Here is a 24,129-nt window from a genome sequence, read left to right as displayed (position 1 = left end):
GCATTCCTTGGGGTAAATATAGCCTCCACCATCAGATATTCCAGCACCAGACCTTAATAAGGAGTTATTACTACAAGAGAGAAGTGAAGAAGAACATTCTTTCTTTCTTGATGGCAGCAACAGTGGTGGCAGCTGCATGGCCAAGTTTCTGGAGGTAAAAGTGTACAAACGTCACATCTTGAGTTCAGTGGTAGCAATGGTGGTTTCTTTATCAGTCTAAGTCTGAAGATAGTTTGGGGTATTGTTTCTGGAAGGTAAGCTTTGTGTTGGTTCCCACTGATTGTTTCAGCTGCAGGGTATACTTGTAATAAATTTATTTTCTTCTTAATCATCTAGTCTGCTTGCAGCCAAGGACTTTGCCTGATACACTCAAGCTCCTCTGCTTCCCACCCCACCAAATGGACATTCAGACATTCATACTCTCATCTTTACCTTCTCTCTGACATCGTGGAGGAAATGAACCCTTCTCTATCCAAGGAGGATGTACCATCTGTCACCTACTTAAGGACTTGGCGTCTCACATTATGCTGTTTCTCCAGTGTTTCATCAGCCTCTCTTTTCCCACAGGCTCTTTCCCCTCTGTAGACAGGCTTACGCATCTGTCATCTATAAAAAAATGTCATGTCTTCACCCACACTTGCAAGGAACTCTAAGCCTCTGACTTCTGAATTGCCAAACATCCTACTATCTATGCATATTGCCTCCACTTTCTCATCTCTGATTCATTCCCCAACTCTCTTCATTATAATGTCTGCCCTCATCATTCCACTGGAACATATTGTAACCCTCTGACAACCTAATGCAATGTAACCTAACTCATGTAACTCAACCACTTAGCTTTCTCTTTATCTCAAAATACTTTTCTTTCTTTGGATTATTTGACTACATCCTTTTCTGTGTTTCTTTCTTTAACACTGGTTGATTCTTCTCAATCTCCTGTGCTAGTTGAGAAGAAATCTTTGTCTGTATGTGACCTCTGAAGTCTCAACCCCAGGTGCTCATCTTTCCTATAACTGTGAAGTAATTGATGTAATATATTTCCATGGCTTGAAATGCCATTTGTATGCTGATGACGTGTGTGTGTGTGTATCTTTCCTTCCCAGATCTGAATTCAAGACTTGGATTTGTGACACAGCATCTTTTCTTGAATGTCACATTTGTCTGACTAAAACCTGTTTCTTTCCTCATCTTTTTCATTCCACTAAATGGTATCACCATTGTTTCTCTGTTTCCTCAAATTGGTATACTGGAAGGCACCTTGAGTCCCCATTTTCTCTTATCTCTTACATCCAGTCGTTCACAAATGTCTACCAATTCTGCAAGCAAAGTATCTCTCAAGTCTTCTCACTTTTCTCTACCTCGTCGGGCATCACCATAATCTCAACCTAAGTACAATACTGTAACAACCCTATACCTACTCATGCTTCAATTCTTGGTTCCAATCTTTCCCTGGAAGATTTTAAACTGTATGAGAGAAAAATTCCTGTTGGTCCTGAATTTCTTGCTGTTATCCTATGCCTTATACATTGTAGATGTTCAATAAATTTTGTTGAATGAAAAACTCAGCAAATCAGTCAATATATTAGATTCAACTGGCAACAAGATGATCACAAACTTGTTCTGGAAAGCTGAAGAAAATCCAGTGGATAGTGAAATAAATTGGATTCAGATGCTTTATAAATAGAATTCCTAGTATCACAGCTGCCAAGAAAATACTTAAGTGCTAAACTCAAATATTCAAAGTGGTGGACTGAAAGGTACATTCATGTTAATGACATTGTAATTGATCTCATTTGCAATGTAAATCCCTCTTGCTTAAAATAATTCAATACCAGGAACTACAATTAATTAACTGATTAATTAGCAAATATGTATTGAGCACCTATTATATGCCAGGTACTATTATGAATGCAGAGAATATAGCAGCAAACCAAATAGACAAAAACCCTGTACTTATGAATCTTATAATTTAGTTAGAGAGACAGACAAATCAGATAAATACATAAAACTCAGAATATATCATAGAGTGATATGCACCAAGGAGAAGGAACAAGGCAGGGAAGGATATAAAGTGCAGCATTTTCAGTTGAGTAGCCAGGGCAGCCGTGATGAAGTTGACTTTTAAGTACATACGTGAAGTGAAGGAGAGAGCCATGGGGATACTCATGGGAAGGGCATTCCAAGCAGAGGGAACAGCAGGTGCAAAGGCCGAAAGGAGAAAATACGTTTCCATATTTAAAGAATATTGAGGAGACCAGTGGCTGGAGTGCAGTGAAAAAAGAATAGGGTAATGAGAAATTCGTTTAGAGGCAAAGTGGAGTTGGGAGTGGGATTTTTTCTGAGTTACAGTGAAGGATTTGGATTTTATGGAGAATGATGTGAAAGGCAATTGAAGGGCTTTGAGTAGAGGTGTTTGACATGATGTGGCTCAAGTTTTAAGAGGATCACAAAATGTATTTCACAGTTATTAGCCCATAAGATCTTTTGAGGGATGCCAAAATAAACCAGGTGCAAAAATATAGAACTGGTACAAATATGCATTACAGCCATGTGCTTTGGAGCGTGTTAGTTACATGACTTCTGGTAGTTTGGTCAAATTATAAAAATTAAGGAAAATTGATCAAAGATAATGAAATAATGAAATAATGCTCAAGAGTACTTGCAATAATTGTATATCTTTATTTTAGAAAAATTTATTCTAGGCCAGGCACAGTGGCTCACGCCTGTAATCCCAACACTTTGGGAGGCCGAGGTGGGTGGATCACAAGGTCAGGAGATCGAGACCATCCTGGCTAACATGGTGAAACCCTGTCTCTACTAAAAATAAAAAAAATTAGCTGGGCATGGTGGCGGGGCTCCTGTAGTCCCAGCTACTTGGGAGGCTGAGGCAGGAGAATGGCGTGAACCTGGGAGGTGGAGCTTGCAGTGAGCCGAGATCGCGCCTCTGCACTCCAGAGCCTGGGGGACAGAGCCAGACTCCGTCTCCAAAAAAAAAGAAAAATTTATTCTAAAGATTAAAAAAACACTTGATATAAACACTGTATATAGTTGGCTAATTTTTAGTCATTGAAAATATTATTTTTAACTTAGTGATATACTTTACTATATCATTAGCACATTACTATCACTAATGTACATTAGTAATATACATTACTATCACTAAATATAAAAATAATATAAAATATCTTATATTTTCTTAGGGAAACTCTGGGGCTATACTGCTTGAATTTAAATCCTAGTCCTGCCACTCACCAGTCATGTAATCTTATGTAAGTAACTTATCTCTCTGTGACTCAATTTCCTCACCTCAAAATGGGAATAATAATAGTAGCTCTCTCAAATAGTTGTTCTGAGAATAAAGGAGCCAATAAGCATAAAGCATTAGCACAGTGCTTGACACAGGGTCAATATCCTGTCATCAGAATTACTTTTGCTACTGTTATTTCAGTTGCTGATTTTTAAGTTGTTGCATTTAAGAGTGGACAGTTCTATGAAAAAATATTTAAGGAACATTTCATCGCTAACATTCTATGATTTTATTTTATTTTATTGATTTATTTTTTCGAGAAAGAGTCTCGCTTTTGTCGCCCAGGCTGGAGTGCAATGACGCAATCTCTGCTCACTGCAACCTCTGTCTCCCGGGCTCAGGCAATTCTCCTGCCTCAGCCTCCTGAATAGCTGGGATTGTAGGCGACCACCATCATGCCCGCCTAATTTTTTTGTATTTTTAGGAGAGACGAGTTTTCAGGTTTTCATCATGTTGGCCAGGTTGGTCTCACACTCCTGACCTCAGCGGATCTGCCCGCCTCAGCCTCCCAAAGTGCTGGGATTACAGGTGTGAGCCATGGCGCCCAGCCACATCTGTGATTTTATTTGGACTACAGTAAGCTAATGTTCCTTTTTGCCTCTCCACACAGTTTTATTTGTATAAGCAAAATTCCATACATAAATTGGAAATTACATATTAGAAAGTGAAAATAATGCAAATATCTTACTAGTTTAACTGAATTTATAAATTTGGCATCACATACAGGGTCTAGATACCCTTTGTTTTAGTGTCTCATTCATTGTTACACAATAACCTTGTTTTAATATGTGCTGTGTTTTTAGGTAAACATAAAATAGACACCACCAGAGCCACATTGCAGAGAGTGTAGTGAGTCATAATGAAGTATGTTGTAGGTCGGTATTTAATCACTGTTAAAACTGATAACAGAAACATCAGAAACATCGCTTGAGATTATGTCTGCTTGGGCTTTCTCAGGTCAATAATCCTTTAGACTTCAAAACTCACAACATGTATGATGTGTGTAATCATCATTTGCCTACTTAGGCTAACACAAAATGTCTAAACTTTTGATGGAACAGGTTTTAATCTGTGCTTCGTCATTTAATGAACACTAATCACTTCCTATGAAATCTTCATTTCTACATAGATCTGAATTCCTTGATCGTCTTCATATGGAGCCTTTCAAATACCAAGGATTTATCGATACATTGTGATAAATGTTTTGACCCGTTAGCCTATTATTTTTTTCAGTTCATTTTAAAGGGTATTTACAAAACACCAGCCGTTTATTAATATGATAATAATAATCTGTGAAGTCAAGGACATATGCAATTTAAGATTATTAAATAAAACTGCTGTTTAAAACAAACACATTTCCTAGAGCTTGAGAGAATACCAAAGATGCTGCTATTGTTCACAGCAGTTATTGAAATTTGTCTTTTGGGTATGTTCACTGTATTTCAAAATAATTTCTAATATCTTCATGTCTTTGCCATTTGAGGGTAAGTTTGATGCTGAATTATTGTCAAAAATTACCAGAGCCAAGTCTGGCAAGTAAGATTGGTCATCAATCTGTACAATGTCATTTTGGGTAAAAAGTATAAAAATCTATTGTTTTGAATATTATTGAAAAGCATTTATACATTTTTAAAAGTTTCATAATATTATAGTTCTGCATATCAGTATATATCTAATAATACTAAATTAAAGTCTGATATATTCATCCGAATTCTCTTTGATACCAATTCACAAAGGCATAAGCCACAAAAAAAGAGCATAACTGGAGAACTCTGGGGGTTATGGCTGACTTGAGGTGTGGCATTATTAAGGGGTCCAAAACATGCTGCAGAACCCAGAATCTGTTTCTCAATGTGTACGCTCTGCTTTCTCTGAATTAGCTCAAATTTTCTGCACCAAGACAAACCAAAGAGCTCCAGCTTTACATCTTGTCAGTCCAAGTGCAATGCAATAAAAAATCCAGACTTTCTCTCCAGTTGTCCTCCAAATCTTCCTTGCCTCCAACTGTGTAAAGATCCTCAGTGTCATTCTCTGATAAACTTCCAGAGGAAACCAGTGTGCTATTGCCAAGGAAGAGAGAATGAAAGAATGAATGTTGGTGGCTAAAAAGTAGAAAGTATTCACACACACACACACACACACACTCATAATTGCATGATTAAGTGTTAAGCCAAAAACCATTGGTTCAAGTCCCAATTCTCCCACCATAATGAAAGTACAGTTGGGCTTGGACCGTTGACCCAACTAGTTCTACACCTGACTGGTAGCCCTTGGCTATGTTATTGCTTATGACTCAGTGTCCTTATCTGTAAAATGAGGATAGTAGTGATATCTCATAGAGTGTTTATTAAGATTGACTAAATTAATATATGTGAAAAATTTGGAACCTGGCATATTGTAAGCACCACATAAGTGTAAACCATTATTATTACTTAGGAGTGTTCTTGATCATTCCAGTCATTTACTGTCGAAGACTCAGTTCCTTTATTTGTAAAATCACTGTAACATTGTAAAGTCAACGTTCCACAATTCTATGCTTTCACAGACATTTGGATGATTCTTATCCTCTAGAATCATCTTTCATACAGAGACTTTGAAGAAGGAGTCCTGAAGCCCAGCATGAAAAAGCTAAATTTCAACATGACCTCAGTAGAAATTACATAACTTTTCTTTTATGGTATTCTGAATGAGAAAAGAAAACCACTGCCAAAAATGTGGTTAAGAAATAGGTACCTTGTTAGAGTAGCTTATAGTTGAGTTATTAAAAAATCTTAATAAAGCAGAATGATCCTCAGCTAAACTGTATCAATAGAGTATTATACTGGATATGTGATGAACCACTGAGCAACATTTTAAGTTTTGTCTAATGACATTATAAAGAAGCAGCGCATACTACATAGTATGCAGCATGGGAAGACCACAAGGTTCTTACCTGTAGCCAATCTGTTCCACCATCTTTACAATACATTCCATATGCAATCTATACAAATTGTTCAGATGCATTCTACAGAATGGATTGTGTCTAGATGGCTACTTCATATTCATTTGTGACTCTTGTGGTCAAAAGATAAAATTACCTTTAATCACTTAATATAACATCAAGATATGAAATGCCACTGTCTTTTTAAATAAAATAAAATAAGATTTGGTTTGAAGTACCTTAAATTTGTGCTGGGACCCTGTTAGATTCTAATGCAGAGCAATTGGAAACTCACGACATTATTGAAGCAGTAGTTGCAGTCTTCATGTGTCCTCGTGATGGGGAGAGATAATAGGAGATACGTTTCAATTATGTTTCCTTGTTTAAAGGGGCTCAATATACATGTAAATATTTTTATGAATATGTATGTATAGTGTCATGTTATACTGCTGGACTAGTTAAGTAATTGGAATATGAGTAATTCAAGGATCTTGCTCAGGACTGCTTTCAATAAAAGAGTTCAAGAATATTGAGAACAAATTAAATAGTATTATTTAAAAACTAAGTATATGATTGTGAATAATTTTTAAAAGTAATAAATATTCCCATTTAATGAAAAGGTATTTAAATGATCATGTAGTGACCATCTGGCATGCCATTGGCATGCCCCTTATCAGAAAAGCTCAGGTGTCTTTGGGAGGGGTGAAAAATATAGTTAGAAGTCTCAGATATTACCAGTGTTCTCAATCTCTAATTTGTGAATTTTTTGAGGCTCAAGAAATTCCCCTTATTCCCAGGACTCTTACCTTGTTTATCTTGCTAACTTAATTAGCTTCGGACTATGAGTGTCCGTGCTTCTCTTTCCAGACAGAGCTGTCTCCAGAGTCTAGACTACAGCAAATTGGAACAATTGCCCAGGGCTCTGCTCTGCTGGGGAAACCCAGCAGCTGGGACTGCTACAGTAGATTTGTGAATACTTGCTACAGAGGACAGAGCAGGGATATGGGTGAGTACAATGGAGCCCAATTATTAAAAACAATTAGCGAAGTATGTAGAGCATCCACTACCCTCAACTTTTGCCCACCCCCTGAAAAGGCAGTGCCCTACGCATTGTAATCCACTATTAATGAACTCACCCTCCATACCTCAACCACCCTCTTCTCAACATTAATTCATGCCTTCATATGTTAATTCAACTAACATTTATTAAGTCCTTACTTTGTATCTTCATATTTGTAACGGATTATTCAATACTTATCATAGTCAAAAATCACTCTCTCTCTCATACGTTAAAAAGTACAATAATCACATGGTCTGCTTATTAAAATTGAATTCTCTGGTCAAAGCTCTAAGGATGCACATTCAGTAGGTGAGGCCTATCCATTGTATTTTTAAATACCCAAGATTCTTTATGAAACTCTTAATTAGATCGTAACATCCACAACGTAGGAGCCATGTCAGCTCATTTACCACTGGGGTACCCAATATCTAACAGTGTCTGGCACACAGGAATTACTCAACATATAATTGTTTGTCTTTACTGAATTAAATTATAAAAATGATGCTAGACTGTAGGGTGCAAAAGTGATTTTATCACAAGTCCTCTATGTCAATAAGAGTCCAAGCAGATAATACAAGGCACACTCAAAGGAGTAATTAAAGAGAATTTAATGAAGGGTCATTTACAGAAAGGTATGAGTAGGATTAAGGAAGCCAAAAAGAGATGGTGAAACACCCAGGGCCTAGTAACAGCCAGAAGTAGCTTCAACCCTCAGGACTAAAACCATAAGGGGAGGGACTTATTACTAGAACCCTATGAGTATAGCCATGGAAGAAGGGCTGCCCAATATGAAAGAAAGGAGACAGGGGGATAAGTACACTGATTATCTCTCTTCCTGTTCTCTGATCTAATGGTGCTCTTGGCCAAAACCCCCTGGAACCTAGATGGCAAGGGAGATCAGGCGATAAAGTGCTCCTTCTCTCATGGCACAGAGCAGAGTGAGAATGTGGAAAGTGCCTTCCTTCCAGAAACTGACAGTTTACTGTCTTCTAATTAATGTAGAGTTACTGATGAATGAAGTTTAGAGTGAAAATAATAACTAATACTTATCATGTGATCATTTAGCAATGCCTATGTGGCTCTTGATGGAGCAGTCAATTCAACTTGTCTGGATGTACTGAGGGTAAGTTAACTGTGTGACCACCAAGATGGAATGCCAGCAAAACAGGGGTTTTCATTTGCCAGATGCTCATGCAGTCCCAGACACATGCCCATGTATACACACACAAACATGTGCTCACACACACATACTTCCGTTAGATTCATAGAACATTATAATGGAATCTCTGCTGGAACCTGGACATTTGGGTGTATAAAATTAATTAAATGTCACATAAGCTTTTGAGAGTTTAACATCTGCAAAACTTGAACAGATGGAATTATGCTAAGACGATTCAATATTTTAATGGTAAACAAGAGAGAGAGAAAAAAATACTGTTAATGTCTAAAGAGTTTGCTTATTCCTACCTCACTGTTATAACTTTCTTAATTCATACTCCTGGCTTCTAAAACTACAAATAATCCCTTCCCATCTAAAATTTATCTGCTTTCAGCCTCATTTTCAATACTCCTATATTTTAATGCCTTGGATTTAAGGATCTTTTAAGTCACTATTTTTAGAGCAACATGGAATTATAAACCAAAACTTAATGATAATGAGGACAATATTTCAGAAGAGGACAAATGTCTCCTCTGATACATTGCCAAAAATATGTAGCTGAGATGAAGGCCACCCAGAAGTTTCAATTAGTACATGATGCATCAGCCCATGTGTATGAAAGAAAGAAAGAGGGAGAAGGAGGGAGAGGAAGGGAGGGACAGAGAGAAGAGAGAGAGAGACACACACACAAAGAGAGACAGAGAGAGAAAAGAAGAAAGAGAAAGAAAAAGAAAGAGAAAGGAAGGAAGGAAGGAAAGAAGGAAGGGAGGGAGGGAGGAAGGAAGGAAGGAAGGAAGAAAGAAAGGGAAGGGAAGGAAATGAAAGGATGAGTGAGCCACATAGAACATTTGAAACCTGGCCTCAAAGGTTTGTTTCTAGGTAGAATTTAAAGAGGTTGATCCAATCTCCAAAATCAATTCAACAGATGTTATTGAGTAACTATGATTTCATGATTTTCTGCCCTCAGGAATCTTTCAGTTTAGCAGGGGAGGGAGATAATTCAAGGAACAATATCATAGAAGTCACTGTGATGAACTGCTACTTAGAAATGGAAGCAAATTCTATAGAATCTTAGTTCTTGCACTGCTGATTATGATTTGGAATTTGATGAAGGTTATGAAAAAGGCAGAATCTCAGTTTGACCTTAGAAGAAGAGAGGATATGCACATGGAGATTTAGCATAAAAGTCTCTTTAAAGCCTTCGAAGTGAGGTGGCTCTGTAAGCATAAGCCAAGACGTTCTGAAATGTTAGCTGTATCTGGGGAATGGGGAGTCAATCAATGATTGAGAATGGTCTGTGTGGAAGAGTTGAGTGAAGAATGAGGCCAGAAAGCCATTTTGGACTAGGTTATGAAAGAACTTGAAGCTTTTGGGGGTTATTCTTCTGGCAGTTGAGAGTTATAGGATTTTTGTCATAAGGTCATGAGGGGTTAGAGTAGGGATGACACATTCAACTGGATGTCTTGAGAAAGATTTTAACTTTTGGGTTTGAGAAGGATCCATGTGGATGAAAAGAAAGGTGGTAACAGGTACAAACACCTTTTAAAAAGAAGCAATAGAGGACTAGTAAATGATTGGATGTGGGGCTTATGGGAGAAGGTATTGCCAAAATCCTGAGGTTTCTGGTCTGGATGACTCAGGCCTTGAACAGAGATAAGGTTTGTCTATTTCCTTCCTCCTTCCATGTTGTCTGTCTTTATAGTCTCCTCTTTCTTAATGATGATATTGGTCATATTAAATTTGAGTTTCTAGTGGATTATTTTAGTCTGAAATTTAGGCAAAATCAGATGTTGAGTTTGGTTATGTACAACTGAGAGTTTATTGCGTAAGTATGGAGTAGTGGGTGGGATAAGAGTGCAAAGCAGCAGAGGATAACGGAGCAGGGGGTAGAAATAGGAAGAAAATTGGAAAACACCTACTCTTCAATGTCAGATGGAGAAGAGTTGAATCTGGGTTAATTCAGATGTAAATGTTCTCTCTTACTTGAAAGAAAGGAAATGAGTTCAGCTATTTCCCATAGAGATTTGGTCTGAGTATACAGCACTGAATGATCTCATTTAGTTCTTTCAATCCAGTGGATAGTATATGGTTGGACATTCATAAAACCTAATGAGAAAGCAAGAATCAATATTTTTATTCTGGGATTGACCCCGGTCAGAGATTGTGTGTGTATGTCTCTCTGTGTGTGTGTCTACACCTCAGAAATTTGTTTCCCTTTTTAATTAAATAAAGCCCATGTTTGCTGGCTTTTAGGGTGGGCTGCAAGGCCCATCTGTTTAACTAGGCAATTGCCTGATATTGCAGGGGGAAGATTGGCAAGTGTAAGTGTGAGTTTGAATACCAGATACAGGCTATTTAAAGCTGAATTTTTCTTTAATAAATTCACCCAGAGGTGTTCAGCAATAGGTAGTTTGGAAAACTACCATAATTTGTGTGGAAGAGTATGTTTTTAAACGTTGATTGCCGAGTGATTGTGGGAAGAAATAAACTTAAGGTAGTTCATCTCTGATAATGCCTCTGTTCCTTCAGGTCTTACCGTGAAGGAAGGCAGAGTATTTCAATAATTGCTTTTGATATGCTGGAAGGTAAAGGGTCTTCCATTTCACATGGGGTAGGACTAACTTGAAAGCAAATAATACATAAATGTTTTCTTGATAGTATGTGTTAAAGCAGTCGGCATTTAGGACCAAGGGTTGTCAATCTTTGAGGTTTCTAAAAGGAATTGCAATTTATGACGTGTTAGGGTAAACAGTTGGATTACATTTCTGAAATACGTGTTCCATCAGGTAAAATCATTGTGATTACAGGCACTGGAACTGTAAGTAAGTAGTGTGCTAAAAGGTTGAAAATGTAAAACAAGTATGCTTGTGCTTAACTACTAATCCCTCTTTGTATCTCTGCTGAATAAACTACAAGAAAAGGGGGGAAAAGAATGTTTAAATAATAAAACAGAAAAAGTATATTATAGTATGTCATTTTGATAAATAATATGCATTAATAATACAGCTTGAGGAACTGTTTCATCAGTGCTAAAGCCACAAGAGAAGATTCCATAATTCAAAGAATTATGAAAGATTATAAAGAAATTATTTTAATTAAAATGTGCTTCTTTTGTTTGCTTTTTTCTTTCTCTTAATATCTTCTTTATTTTCTGGTGTGTCCTATAAAAGCACAGGTTGTCTTTTTAATATCCAGTCTCCATTGTTCAGAAATGCGTTGCAAATAAGGGAATGGTTTTAAGAGTTTTGCATATGTTTGACAGCAGAAGGTATTAAATGTAAATAAATCTTTAATATTTCCCTTAATTCAGTTTGTGCCATGCAAATGTCAGGACTAGAAAAACAAATCAACAAACATTTCAAGGAAAACAATATACGTAACTTATTTTATACATTAAAAACAACTGTCAAACAATTATGACCTCATGTATTAGTTGGTTGTTTTGAAATATTCCTACTAGAATTAAAAAATGCTATGAGGGCCTTTGAGCTTAAACATATTGTGTCAATCAAGAGCACATGTAATGTATCTAAAGCATGAGGTAAAAATTTTCTTCATAAATTATTTCATAAATAAATAAGTAATTTGCTTGCAAAAGTTTACAAAAATATTTGAGCTTTTATTAAGTTCTCTACAGATCCTTTGTGGTTAATGTAAATGAATTGATACAGACAGCAGTTTGATCTGCTCTACTCTAACTTGAAATACAAAAAGTAACATGAAGAGATTCTTCATTTCTCAGGCAAACTTCAGCAAGATTGAGTCCGTGAAACTTCATTCATTAAATTTTTAAGTGACCATGAATTTGTTGGCTTCAGTACCTGAAGTGTAACTTTATCCTTTCAATTAAAAGACATAATTCACCCTCAGACCTTTGGCTTTAACTTTTCATATAATATGTAATTTTGGGTACACTTAATAGTCAAATTTTGTATTATTACAGGTGGAAAAACACCAGCCATCTCAAGGGCTTTGTGCTTGCAAAAGCATGTAATTTCATTTTTTTTTTGAACCAATTTAATCAATGATTGTTTCATGTGAATAAATTTACAGTCTTGATGATTGCCTTAGATTTGTGGGTGATGGAGAGGAAGATCACTTCCCCTTTTAAAATGTCATCTAAATCTTGGGGAGCAGAAGGAGATTAGGGGCCTAATCCTTGTGATAAATTGTACTATTTAACTTTGCTAAGATGCTATAGCCTCAGATTTTATCAGTTAGATACCAGCTTCAGCAGTTTTAGGTGATATTAACCCTTTCAATACAAAACAGTCTTACTGTTCGAATACATATTTCAAAATTGATTTAATATTTTTAGTTAGTCATGGCTCAAGAATGTTTCACTCAGATCCTTATTTTTTTCCTTTAATAAAAATGCTTCTCACTGTGCCGTGCATATTTCCATAAAAGTCAGCAAGTTAATTTATGGCTTAAAAAAAGAAAATAAAAGGTCTATATTTAATATGTGAATACATTTTACAGTGGAAATTGGTGGTGGACAGTATTAAATGACTCCAGTGTGGAAATATGCAGGTGGTCATTAGTAGCTGACTATGAGATTTACTGAAGATTTTGATATTAATTTTCCCGGCATGCAGTACTATATATAAATCTAACTCTGTTCTCAAATTAATTTAAATGGATGATAACATATGAATAACTCCAGGCATATGAGGCTCATTGTCTTCTCTCTCCTTTAGGAAATATATTGTTTGCCTCATTGTGAAACTGTATTTTGACTACTTTTTCACCTGACTAGTTTCTCTATTGCAAAAGAATTATTGGTTTTCTACTCATAAAGAGTGTATGGGAAACGGTACCAAAATACTTCTGGAATAAATGTGCTACAAAAAAAAAATCACATATCTGCTTGACTAGGTATATTAAATAAAGACCATAGAGAAAAAGGAATAAGGTTCTAAAAGCACCTACTTCAGTTTTAATTTTTTAAAATGATTGGCTTTTTCACTTCTGATAATAGTATGTTTGGAAAATATACCCATCTTTTCTCTAAAAAGATGCAAGAATCATTTAGTGAAAAATATTTTGGAGGAAATTACTTCATCTTCGGCTCTCAGATTCATGATTGTACCTAAGATTCTAATTTTAATCATTTTGTAGTTTGGAAAAGGAAAGATGCTTCTCCTTTTAGCACAAAATTACTTTAAACTGACTTTCACCAGAGGAAAAACATGCCACTTAAAGTCACCCAACTGAAGAAAATGAAGTCCAAACGCCCAAGAAATGTTTACTTTGTTTTTAACACCTACTATACTTTGAATCCTGTCATGGTAATGTTTTATGCATTGTTGATCTTTAGAAGTCAAAAAAAAAAAAAAAAGCTCAATCCAGTGAACTTTATGTTGAGGCAATTTCTCTTAATAATGAGAGTATATGGAGATGTAAAGTAGGTAAAAAAGAATGTCACGCTTAATTCAGAGTTCCTTATCTGCTACTAAAACCCAAACTGCATGTATTAATCTTGCAGCATTTGAATAATGTTCCCATTTTGTCTGTTTTGTGGTACCCCCTTAAAGCACCCATTGAGTTTCTGGCTTCTCTTTAGCTCAGAAAACCATAGCAACCTCAGTCCGCACTTCTCCAACTCAGGATAGAGTTCAAGTTGTTCTCCTCAAGCCTTCTTGCCGTGAAAATCGTGGGGAATCCTGATCACCAACTAGGTGTCCTAAGACTTCTTGCCACAGATAAAGGGCGGGGGAGGGGGCGCACACGCACACACACATCCTGCGTCGTTTAATTGGGAGAGAGAAGGGAAAGTAACAACAGAAAAGGTAAAAGGACTTTGAGAGTTCTTTAAATTGTTTCTGTTAGCATCTCTGAGTGTCTGGGGAACGTCGGTTTGGCGGCCACGCACTGCCCCCCACCTGCCCCCCACTACCCCAAGGTAAGTCCTCGTCTTTATCACATTATTCCTAACGCGTTCGGATTTTTCCTCCTTTTCCAGCCCGCACGTTCACAGACGGGAGGTGGGGGAGGGAGGAGGGGGGAGAGGCGGGGCGGGAAGGTAGCCGGGTCCCTGCACCGCGCCGCTCTCATTTGCGGCGCTCCGACTCGGGCGAAGTTCTCGCGCAGCCGGCTCGCCGCGGCCGGGGCCGGTCCCGGCGGGCGGCGGCGGCGGGTGCTCGGAGCCGGGCGGGGCGGCGGCGGCGGCGCGGGGACGCGCGCTGTCTCTTTAAGGGAGCTCGGTCTGGGGTGGCGCTTTCCTCCGCGAAGGCTCCTTTGATATTAATAGTGTTGGTGTCTTGAAACTGACGTAATGCGCGGAGACTGAGGTCCTGACAAGCGATAACATTTCTGATAAAGACCCGATCTTACTGCAATCTCTAGCGTCCTCTTTTTTGGTGCTGCTGGTTTCTCCAGACCTCGCGTCCTCTCGATTGCTCTCTCGCCTTCCTATTTCTTTTTTTTTTTTTTAAACAAAAAACAACACCCCCTCCCCTCTCCCACCCGGCACCGGGCACATCCTTGCTCTATTTCCTTTCTCTTTCTCTCTCTCTCTCTCTCTCTCTCTTTTTTAATAAGGGTGGGGGAGGGAAAGGGGGGGGAGGCAGGAAAGACCTTTTTCTCTCCCCCCCGCAATAATCCAAGATCAACTCTGCAAACAACAGAAGACGGTTCATGGCTTTGGCCGCCGCGCCACCATCTTTCGGGCTGCCGAGGGTGTTCTTGACGATTAATCAACAGGTAAGGAGGGGAGGCCCGAGCGGGCCGCGGGGCCGGGGGCTGCGGGGGGCGCGGGGGGCGCGGGCGCCCCTCGGCCGGGCCCGGGGCGCCGCGACGCGAGTGCAGCGCCCGCTCGTGTGCGCGCAAAATGTGGGCGATCGCGAGCGGGGAGCCCTGGGAATTAAAAGTGACTTTCTTTGAAAAAAAAAAAAAAAAAAAAAAAAGCAGAGGGAGAGTGTGCAGAAAGCCAAGCGCAGGCTTCTCGGGTTTCACATGCATTTTCTTTCTTCCTTTTTGAGCGTGTGATTTCTTTCTTTCTTTCTTCTCTTCTGCTCCCTTTTTCCCCCTTCCTCTCCTCCTTTTGGTGGGTCTGAGGCATCTGAGCTTTGGAAACCAGCGACTTCAAACTGCAGTAGCCCCTGGAGTCAGCAGGGTCAAGTTCAGCCGCCGGGGAGGAGGAAAAACAAATCCCCATTTGCCAAAAAAAGAAGTTTCAGGCCGGTGCCCCCTCCCCCTCGCAGCCCCACTCCCCCTCGCTGTCTCTTTCTGGCTGATTTTAATTCTCTCCTACCGGGCGCAGCGGAGGAGCTGGAGGTGGTTGGACCCGAGGGGCCGCCGCCGCCGCCGCCACTGCAAGTTTTCTGGGGGCTCGTGACAAGCGGGGCGCAGACTAGGCACCAGCATGCAGAGTAGTAAGTTGGGCGAACTCGGGAGGGTCGGGAGGGTCTCAGAGACGGGCCTCCGTATGGTCTCCAAAGTGGGAAAACAGCACAGGACTGCCTTTGGCTTTGAAGAGTTTGCAAATGCAGGCTTCAAACTTTTTTCCCTTAAAGGCCCAGCTGGGCTCTGGAGAAGGCGGGTGTCGCATCCCTTGGTGCACCCGCCTCAGAGCGGCTCAGGACAGCTTGGCCGAGCGGTCTGTGCCCTGTCCGTACCATGTGGCAGGGCCTTGCAGCCCGGGCGCTTCCGTAGGGGCTGAGGAAGGGGCAGACTTCCTCTGCGATGCGGTTGATGCGCCATGTGTCGCGCGGGTCAGGGGACACTGGCCGGTGATTAAATGCCTGACAGCGGTGGGACATCCAAGCGGACAGACGCTTTGCCTTCTGTCTGGTTCCTGTTTGGGATCTAGAGAAACGCATCTTTGAAAGGCCAAGGCAAACATCGCTGTCCCTCCAAATAACTCCAGGATTATAGGACCCCAGGAATAATTTGAGGGTGAGGCGGCGGTGGGAGCTGTTTGAAGTGTAAAGCTGTTTTTGTGGCTGGGAAAGCTTTTTCGTTAGTACCTGTCTGAGATGGTGGTGTTTCCCCCTTTCCCCAGGGAAGTCAGCAACTGTTTTATGGCCCCAGGACTCTAAAGCAATTTAAGTTAGAGGGTGAGAAGGACTGGTGGGTTTCAGAGGGAATCTTGGACTTATTAAATTTTAGGACCGGCTTTACTTCCCTCTATCTTTTTAGGCCTCATATTTGATGCTTTGAAAGTTTTTTGAGTAAGCCATTGATCTTAATGATGAATCTAAATTATGATAGAATATTCATTCTTATGCCATTTTGGAAAATCACGGCTAGAGTTTAAGCGAGGTAAGTGAAGTGAGAAGCTCAGCGGAGGAGTTAAATCTGAGACAAGTTAGGCCTATTCATTGAACTTTTGTAGATTCATTGAACTTTTGTAAACACACCAGGTGAACAGGAAAGGAAAGGGTCTGGGAGAGATAATAAGTACAAAAGAAAAATACAGATAGGGCCTGAGACAAAATTACAAAGAAATGATAACTCTGGGCCTGGTTGTTGGCTAAAACTTGATTGTTCAAAGCAAAAATAAAATAGGAACCTTCCAACAATTCTTCAAAGTCCTCCAGCTCTGAAGCTAAAACCTATGGATCTTGCTGGCATCATGTTACTTTCCTGCTGGTTTTAGAAAAAGTTGATCATTTAGAAAAGGCTGCCAGAGTTAAAAATGCAAGGGACAGCAGAGGAAAGTCATGCGGGCAGCCAGTTCTTGACGTGGACAAAATGAGAATGAAAGTTTCTGAACTCACTGTTGTGAAGTTTTACATGCCGCTCATTTGCTTAGAAGGCTCTCTCAGATATTCCACCAGTTAACGTATAAAAGCAAACAGGATCTAAAATCGTGTGGGCTTTTTTTTTTTTCTTTCCCCAAGTATGCCAGGGTTGTGAATAAATACAGGGTTTGTATGGGAAGATGAAGCGTTTCCTGTAAGTTCTGATGCTGACAGGACAGTCTGGAAATGATACCAACATTTTGAGGATTTTTTTTTTTTACCTTTAAGTGAAAGTTTATTAATGATATGCTTAATCTTAACAAGTCAAACATATTCTTAGAGTTTCTCTCTCCTTGGATTTCATAACTTCCTTTTAAAGCTACACCTTTGGATAAAAACATCTCTAGATTCAGTTCAATATACAGGGCTAGTAACATGCTAAAGTTTGACGATTATTTCTGGATGTTAATAATGTGAAAATAAAACTCCTGAGGGGCAAATAGAGCCTTAATACCAACATTATAACTTGATTTCTCTGAATGTGAGGCCTTCTGAAGCTTCATTAGTACTCTGTTGGCGAAGTATTATTTACCACTGGCGAGCTGATGTTTATGGCTTCCTGATATGTATGTTATATGTTAGGATATATATGTGTAGACTGCTTTTCCATACATAATACCTAAGTCTAACACTTTTCAAATAAGTGGTGGAAAGTAGCAAGTTACTAACACAAAGTTTGTCACTCCTTTGAATTCTAGATGCTGTAAGGGTCTGTGCTACTATTTAGGTTTTGTCCTTTGTCTCTTAAAGGTAACGTTAAAGGTAAGGAGAAAAATGTCATAATAGCTGTGAAGTCTGAGCTGAATTTAGAACTTAGCATTTCGATGACTAATATTTTAAATGATTTTATAAAATTTTCTGCATACGTGTTTGAAAACCAGTTTAGGATCGGAATCAGTGTGCTAATCCGAAATAAGTTACACATACTACTACCATATTTTCAGTATTATTTAAGTCACCTACCACTCCTGAGTTTATTCTGATTTACATCATATAGATCTCTTCCTATAAGGAAATATTCATTCATAAGGAAGACCTTTAAAACAGGGAAATGCATGCATCTGTAGAAAAGCAGCTTTTACGATTCTAGTATTTCAGTGACGGTTCTATTATCACTACTATTATTAGATGTATATGTGTATGTGTGTACAGACATACAACCCACAATATGTGATTAATGATGTGTACATTTTTATTAAGAAAGCAACCAAAGACTGTAGATTTTTATAAACGCTTGTCTTACCTTCTTTGTTGTAAATAAACATTACTGAAAGTTTCCAGAGGACTTGCAGCAAATTGTTTTTGAACTAGAACTTTATTCCAAATTTGAAATTGGAATAAATGCTGATAACTGACCTTTAAACATTTTTCATAACATGAATATTTTAGAATAATTATATTTTAACTTCAGTTCTTCTTTTGATAGCAACAATAATGTAACAACACTATGCTATTACGTGTACAACAACACAGACTTTAAGAAAGTTATGGGCAGGTGTCTATAATTGATTTAAAGGAAAGATTATTTTTGTAATAAGTGATGAACTTAAAATGACTGGCTTACATTAAAACATATTCTTATTAAGATTTCTCTGGTGTGTAAAATGAAGCCATTCATTCAACAGGCTGACAACTTTCCACTTGGTATTTGCCTTTCCTTAATTTAGTTTCCGCAGGACAGCTAGTGTGGTAGTCTGCATCTGTTTTTAGCAGGCATAGAAAACTATAAACTCAGACAGTTCTGTCCCAAATATTGCAGCTCACAAGTTACAATCAATTTGATAAAAACCCGCAAGTTTTATGGGCTCGTATTTTGTTGTTCATCCTTGCTAGGTCAAGCTTTCAGGTAATAGGTTTCTTTTTCTCCCTCTTTTGCTGATGATAACTGCTAATACCATTGATAACTAATTCTGAGTCTTGTTTACTCATTTATCATCCTTATTTACCATTTGTTGAAGTTTTGGGAAATTAATGACAGCATACGTAGACTTGCGTTTACTTTGATGGCTTATCTGTGAAAATGACATTTATCTTTTGTTATTATACAGAAATAAGTAAATTCTTTGTTACCATAATAGTTATGATTTATGGAATTTTTGAGTCCCCCTTAGATATAGCATAAAGATGGTCTTCTAGCCTTTGCCAAGTAGACATTTAATCTAATTGTTTAAGAGTGCTTGTCATGTATAGAAAAGACTAACATACTTTGCAATTATTTACATTAAAAATTATGTAGAGGTTTGTTTTAGTGTAATTTTAAAAATAATTTGTCTCCCAAAAGCTGTAACCAGTGGATTAAAGTAAATAAGCTAAAATACCAAATCTTGTTTTATACCATTGTTCTATAGCAAACAGTGCTGCAGAGGATGTAACTACTTTTTAAAATTTATCCTCCGATGTAAGTAGGGCCAAAGTCATTTGTTTGTATAAAATATTCTATTAATTATATATGACCTTTATAAATAATATCTTCGATTTTATTATTATGATCACTTTTTGAGCTATCACAGTGCTCAGTTGTTCTCCTATTCCTGAGAACTGAATTTGGCCTTTAGTTTGGTTTTCTGATGGACACAATAATGTAGAACTTGACTTTGGTTAGAAAGAGATCTTTGAGCTTCAGGAATCTCTGAAGGTGCAGTAGGATCTACAGGTGAAAACCATTTGAATTGTTAAGCATTAGTTAGGTGAAGAAACTCTACTGGTCCCTGCAGCATATAGCAGCTATTATCGTAGCGGTCTACTTTTTGCTATCCCAGTTTTTTTTTTTTTTTTTTTTTTCCTTTTCCAAGAGCACAAATCCAAATAGCAAAAATGAAGGTGAAATTATCTATGTACTTCAAATTTGGAGCATCATTTGAAATCATTTTCTGATTCTAAGCTATAACTGAAATACAAATATAACATTAAGACACCCCAAAGAAGACATTAAGGATACACTTGTCGTTCTTAAGTGTGTTTCACTAAAAATAATAACAAAAAACTTTTAATTTTTAAAATGTTTCTAGCTTTTAAAAACCTGCAGTAAATACTTTACAAGTGGCTAGACACCTTCCCTGGTGGTTTAGTTTATACAAGCAGGAAACTTTCTCTCCTACTCTTTCTCTCTCTCTTTCTTGTTTTCTTTAAACCAACTGACGTAATGCCAAACTTTGCTTTAAAAGAACAGACAGAAGTAATTGGTAGCTTTTAACTTTTAATAATGTTCTGGATTGGTTTTAGTGGCCAAAATGCCATTTAAAAAAAAAAAAAAGTTCAAGTAAGAACGGGCTTGTGGCCTGAGGAAGAAAGGCTCTGTTGATGCAGTTATTTTTATTCTTGTTTTTCAATCTGTTATTAAAAATCTTTCCTGCTGAGCACTGCTGGATTTCTCCAATTGCTCTTTGTGATGGCTGGTGCATTTCAGGTTACCGTAACTTAAACAGTTTTTGGGTTTTGGGGAAAGTGGGTATTTGCGTTGCATTATTTCTTTCTTATTTGGAAAAAAAATCCATTTGTTTTTGTTTCAATGGAGATTAATTAATTAAGGTTATCAATGGCCACAGGTCAAAGAATATGTTTATATAACGAATGCGACACCTGTTAGCAAGAGCCTAAAATGTGGAAGTTTAAATGTGACATTAATCATTTTTATGTGCAGAGGAAGGAAAATAGATGAAACTTTACGAAAATGCATTTTTAGATTGAAAACATTAATTTTAAGGGTCAGTGCGTTTCTACAGGCAGCTCTTTTTTTCTTACAATTTTAGATGATAATTTTTTAACCCTATTTATCAAACAGTATTTATAGTTTCCTTTTTTTTTTTTTTTTATAAATAGTCATTTCTTTCTCTCTGACTTTGCACAGGCAAACAGAACTTTCTCCAGTTAAGAGACATCTTGGTGATGTTGATTGACATCAGGGCAACTTCAGAAGCTGGCAAGTAGGAAAATCTTTTTAGGGGGCAAAAAGATTTGTGCTAGTGTTCTCTTCCTTGGGAAAAGACACTCCACCCAGAAATTATTGGGTTTAGTGGAAGGCCCTCCGCCCCATTCGGTGGCTCAGAACTAAGTACTGTTTCGACTTTTCTTTTGTGAATTGTTCCTGAGGTTTAAATCTTACGGTTACTTGTCGTGGACTTTGCTTTTAACCCAAATTCTTCCTGATAGATTTTTTTTTTCCTTCTTTACCTAGAGCACATTTAAGGAATAATATATATAGTGAAAATTAAGTGTCACACAAGGAAGAGTACAGTCTTTAAGGCATTTATGACTATAAAAAGCATTCCGCAAATTTGGGGCATTGAAGTGTTCTCTGCTTATAAATTTGACAGTTTTGATTTACTTGATATGTTTCTCAGTTTTTCTTGCGAGAGTTACAGACTCTAGTTCAAATCGTAGGCATTCCTTTTTTGCTTATGGCTTCTTTAGTTAAAGATTTGTTTGGAAAAACTTTAGGAACTTAATGTATATGTTGTTCACATCAGCATAGTGCAAGTTTCTTGGAGTAAGTCTAGATTCATTTTATTTATTACAAAGTTTTCAAACATACATTTCATGTTATGGCTGCATCTGTTAATAAATTTTTATTTAATGAATTTTGTTTGTTGCTTCAAAAATGAGGAAAAGCAATAAAGTTTAGCAAGAAGGAAATAAGGCAAAGGGAGGTGTTTAGAGTTGCAGTCCCTTAATATCGCAGATTGTTTACTGGTAAGTGGTGGGGAGGGGTTGGTGGGAGGTTTTGTGGAAGATGATACCAAAAAAAAAAAAAAAAATCCATCAATTGCGCATATGCTCCCCTCCCCTTAAGGTTTACTTAAACAATATGTTTCGATTTTGCCGCAAACCATTCTGCACTACTTCTGCTCCAAGAATCCACCACTATCTTGGTTCCTGAGAGATTAAGGATGATGTTTTCTGTTGTATAATGAACAGCAGTATTATTTGAACAAAGGTAACACTTTTTGATTTGTGTAATTTTTTAGTAGCTTGTCATAGGATACCTATAATATGAGAGGAGTTCTAGCAATGTAATTGCCTGCAAATGTTTGAAGTACTCACGATAGCTTTGCTATGTTTGAATTATTGCCAATATATGTGCATGCTATTATAGGTGTGTTTTATATGTGGAATGTATGTAGACCGATAATACTTAGACACATCTTGATGGTGGAATTTAGAATGCTAACTATTAACTCTGTGCTTGAAATGTGAATCTTTTAAGGAGTTAACATGACCTACATTATGAAGTCTAAAAGTTTGAAATGAGTATGGAGTTTAAACATAATGAATCAATTGTTATCATAATACTTATATCTGCTCTGAATTTACTAAGGAATTTTTTTAAATGAAAAAAATTATAAATCAAAATGCCACCTTTCAGTGTATTGTAAGAAATGCTTCTGAGATCATTTTTTAAGTCTCATTTCTGTTAAGAGGAGCAGTTAAGGGACAGGACTGTTTGTGAGTATATCACTTTATGGGCTACCACTTTATAGTTTACAATTCTATCATCTCAAAACGTTATGTAGAAATAATATGGAACATGTAAAGACTCTGTACTATGACCCAATGCATTTTTCCCTAGGGTGATGGATTCTGTGCGTCACCCAAATGTGATGCTATTTGCCAGGCTTGTAATACTGGTTTTGAGGGTTGATCTATGTCCTATTTCATCAAGCAACACAATACAACAACTTTGGTATCTAGGGTAATTGACACAGTCAAAATAGTCTCTGGAAAACATTCCATATACTTTTAAGTTAAGTCAGAAGTTAATGTACATATTAAATTTATTTAACATGAATAAACAAATGATTTATTGTTAGCTATTTGTCTAATATACTAGATAGTGTTAGAAGGAAATATACAAGTATTTACAGTTTATGTTCCATTTCTTTTTTTCTTTTTTGAGGGGAGCATGGTTCTCTTGTTTGCGTTCATAATAGCTTTATCTGTTAATTACTTTGTATTCATGATAGTGAGTAGTATAGTATCATAAATCATAGTAAACATGTTTATATTATCTGCTATATATGTCCCAAGCTTGGAAAAAGCATTAATATTACTAGTTGTTAAATTGAGTATTATAGTAACCAGGAATGAATCCAGTACCGTATAAGACAATAGATAAGACATCAACTGCTATTTAAACACTAAAAATACCTTAGCTGTAGAAAAAGAAAGATCAAAAGGATTTCAGAGCTGTTTTTACTTGTAGAATTTGGACAGAATGTATAAAGCTTACAAATCAATAAACATTAATAATATAACATGTGCTTCCTGATTAGATTCTACAATACAATGTGAATTGCTATTTCAATTTCTCTACATATCATATGGAAGATCAGATATGTTTATAAATAGTGTAAAAATATATGGCAGAAATTAGTTTGTGGAATCTAATTTCTCTATTACATGATACACTTCATGTACAAAGGGATCAAGCATTACTAATCTAGTGTTAGCTTTTGCTCTCTGAGCTATGCAGAAGTGGAATATATGAATTTGTGGCTTCATATTAAATAAGTGCGTACATGTACATGCAGGATAGCTATAGTCTCACTTGCTTAGAATGTTTTTACATTACAGGCACTACATGGAATTTTAGCATATTGCATATTTTTTGAAATGACTTTAGTCTTTGTAATGCCCATTTTAATTACTTAATGCATCCCAACACCTATTTGAGGGTTAATTTAATTGTAATTTTGGTTCTGAAATGAGAGCATGATAGACAAAACAAATTAAAAACCAAATTCTACTTGTGCCTACTTTGTGATGTCATTATCTGCACATCATCTTTAGCTTTGCAAGATGTGGAAATAAAATACATCAGCCCATTTTCTCTCAATACTCTTAAGTAGCTCTGAACATATAAAAGTTCCTAAAAGAAAGTTTTGTATTTGTTTTTGCTTTGCTTTTTGATGCCAAGTTAAGACAGGTCATATATATATT

At 37.3% G+C, this 24,129-nt stretch overlaps 1 protein-coding gene across 4 annotated transcripts in view, besides 5 other annotated features; it reads left to right on the top strand.

The window, feature by feature from the left end:
• Positions 14,423–14,964: an enhancer, noted in NCBI's record as "H3K27ac hESC enhancer chr8:116680959-116681500 (GRCh37/hg19 assembly coordinates)". NCBI's record gives its function as "activates a minimal SCP1, AML or CMV promoter by ChIP-STARR-seq in primed H9 embryonic stem cells {active_cell/tissue: H9 hESC(primed)}" and the evidence as "EXISTENCE:reporter gene assay evidence [ECO:0000049][PMID:30033119]".
• Positions 14,447–14,606: a silencer, noted in NCBI's record as "silent region_19472". NCBI's record gives its function as "represses an Ori minimal core promoter by ATAC-STARR-seq in GM12878 lymphoblastoid cells {active_cell/tissue: GM12878}" and the evidence as "EXISTENCE:reporter gene assay evidence [ECO:0000049][PMID:35858748]".
• TRPS1 (transcriptional repressor GATA binding 1) overlaps positions 14,721–24,129 on the top strand; it is a 260,480-nt gene continuing 251,071 nt past the window's right edge. For 3 of the 4 annotated variants that reach the window (NM_001330599.2, NM_001282903.3, NM_014112.5), the window contains exon 1: positions 14,721–15,151. Coding sequence is in view for 1 of the 4 variants with exons in the window: in NM_001282902.3 (NP_001269831.1) it covers positions 15,813–15,822 (10 nt within the window). In the remaining 3 variants the exon portion in view is untranslated. Of the gene's footprint in view, positions 15,152–15,682; positions 15,823–24,129 lie in introns of those variants that run through there. The other variant, NM_001282902.3, reaches the window with a different exon arrangement.
• Positions 15,077–15,126: an enhancer, noted in NCBI's record as "active region_27824". NCBI's record gives its function as "activates an Ori minimal core promoter by ATAC-STARR-seq in GM12878 lymphoblastoid cells {active_cell/tissue: GM12878}" and the evidence as "EXISTENCE:reporter gene assay evidence [ECO:0000049][PMID:35858748]".
• Positions 16,107–16,226: an enhancer, noted in NCBI's record as "active region_27823". NCBI's record gives its function as "activates an Ori minimal core promoter by ATAC-STARR-seq in GM12878 lymphoblastoid cells {active_cell/tissue: GM12878}" and the evidence as "EXISTENCE:reporter gene assay evidence [ECO:0000049][PMID:35858748]".
• Positions 17,264–17,353: an enhancer, noted in NCBI's record as "active region_27822". NCBI's record gives its function as "activates an Ori minimal core promoter by ATAC-STARR-seq in GM12878 lymphoblastoid cells {active_cell/tissue: GM12878}" and the evidence as "EXISTENCE:reporter gene assay evidence [ECO:0000049][PMID:35858748]".

The sequence above is a fragment of the Homo sapiens genome, chromosome 8 (assembly GCF_000001405.40).
Source record: "Homo sapiens chromosome 8, GRCh38.p14 Primary Assembly".
Classification (NCBI taxonomy): Eukaryota; Metazoa; Chordata; class Mammalia; order Primates; family Hominidae; genus Homo; species Homo sapiens.
Note: the sequence above shows the minus strand (reverse complement) of the source record. Positions and strands in the feature narration are given on the sequence as shown.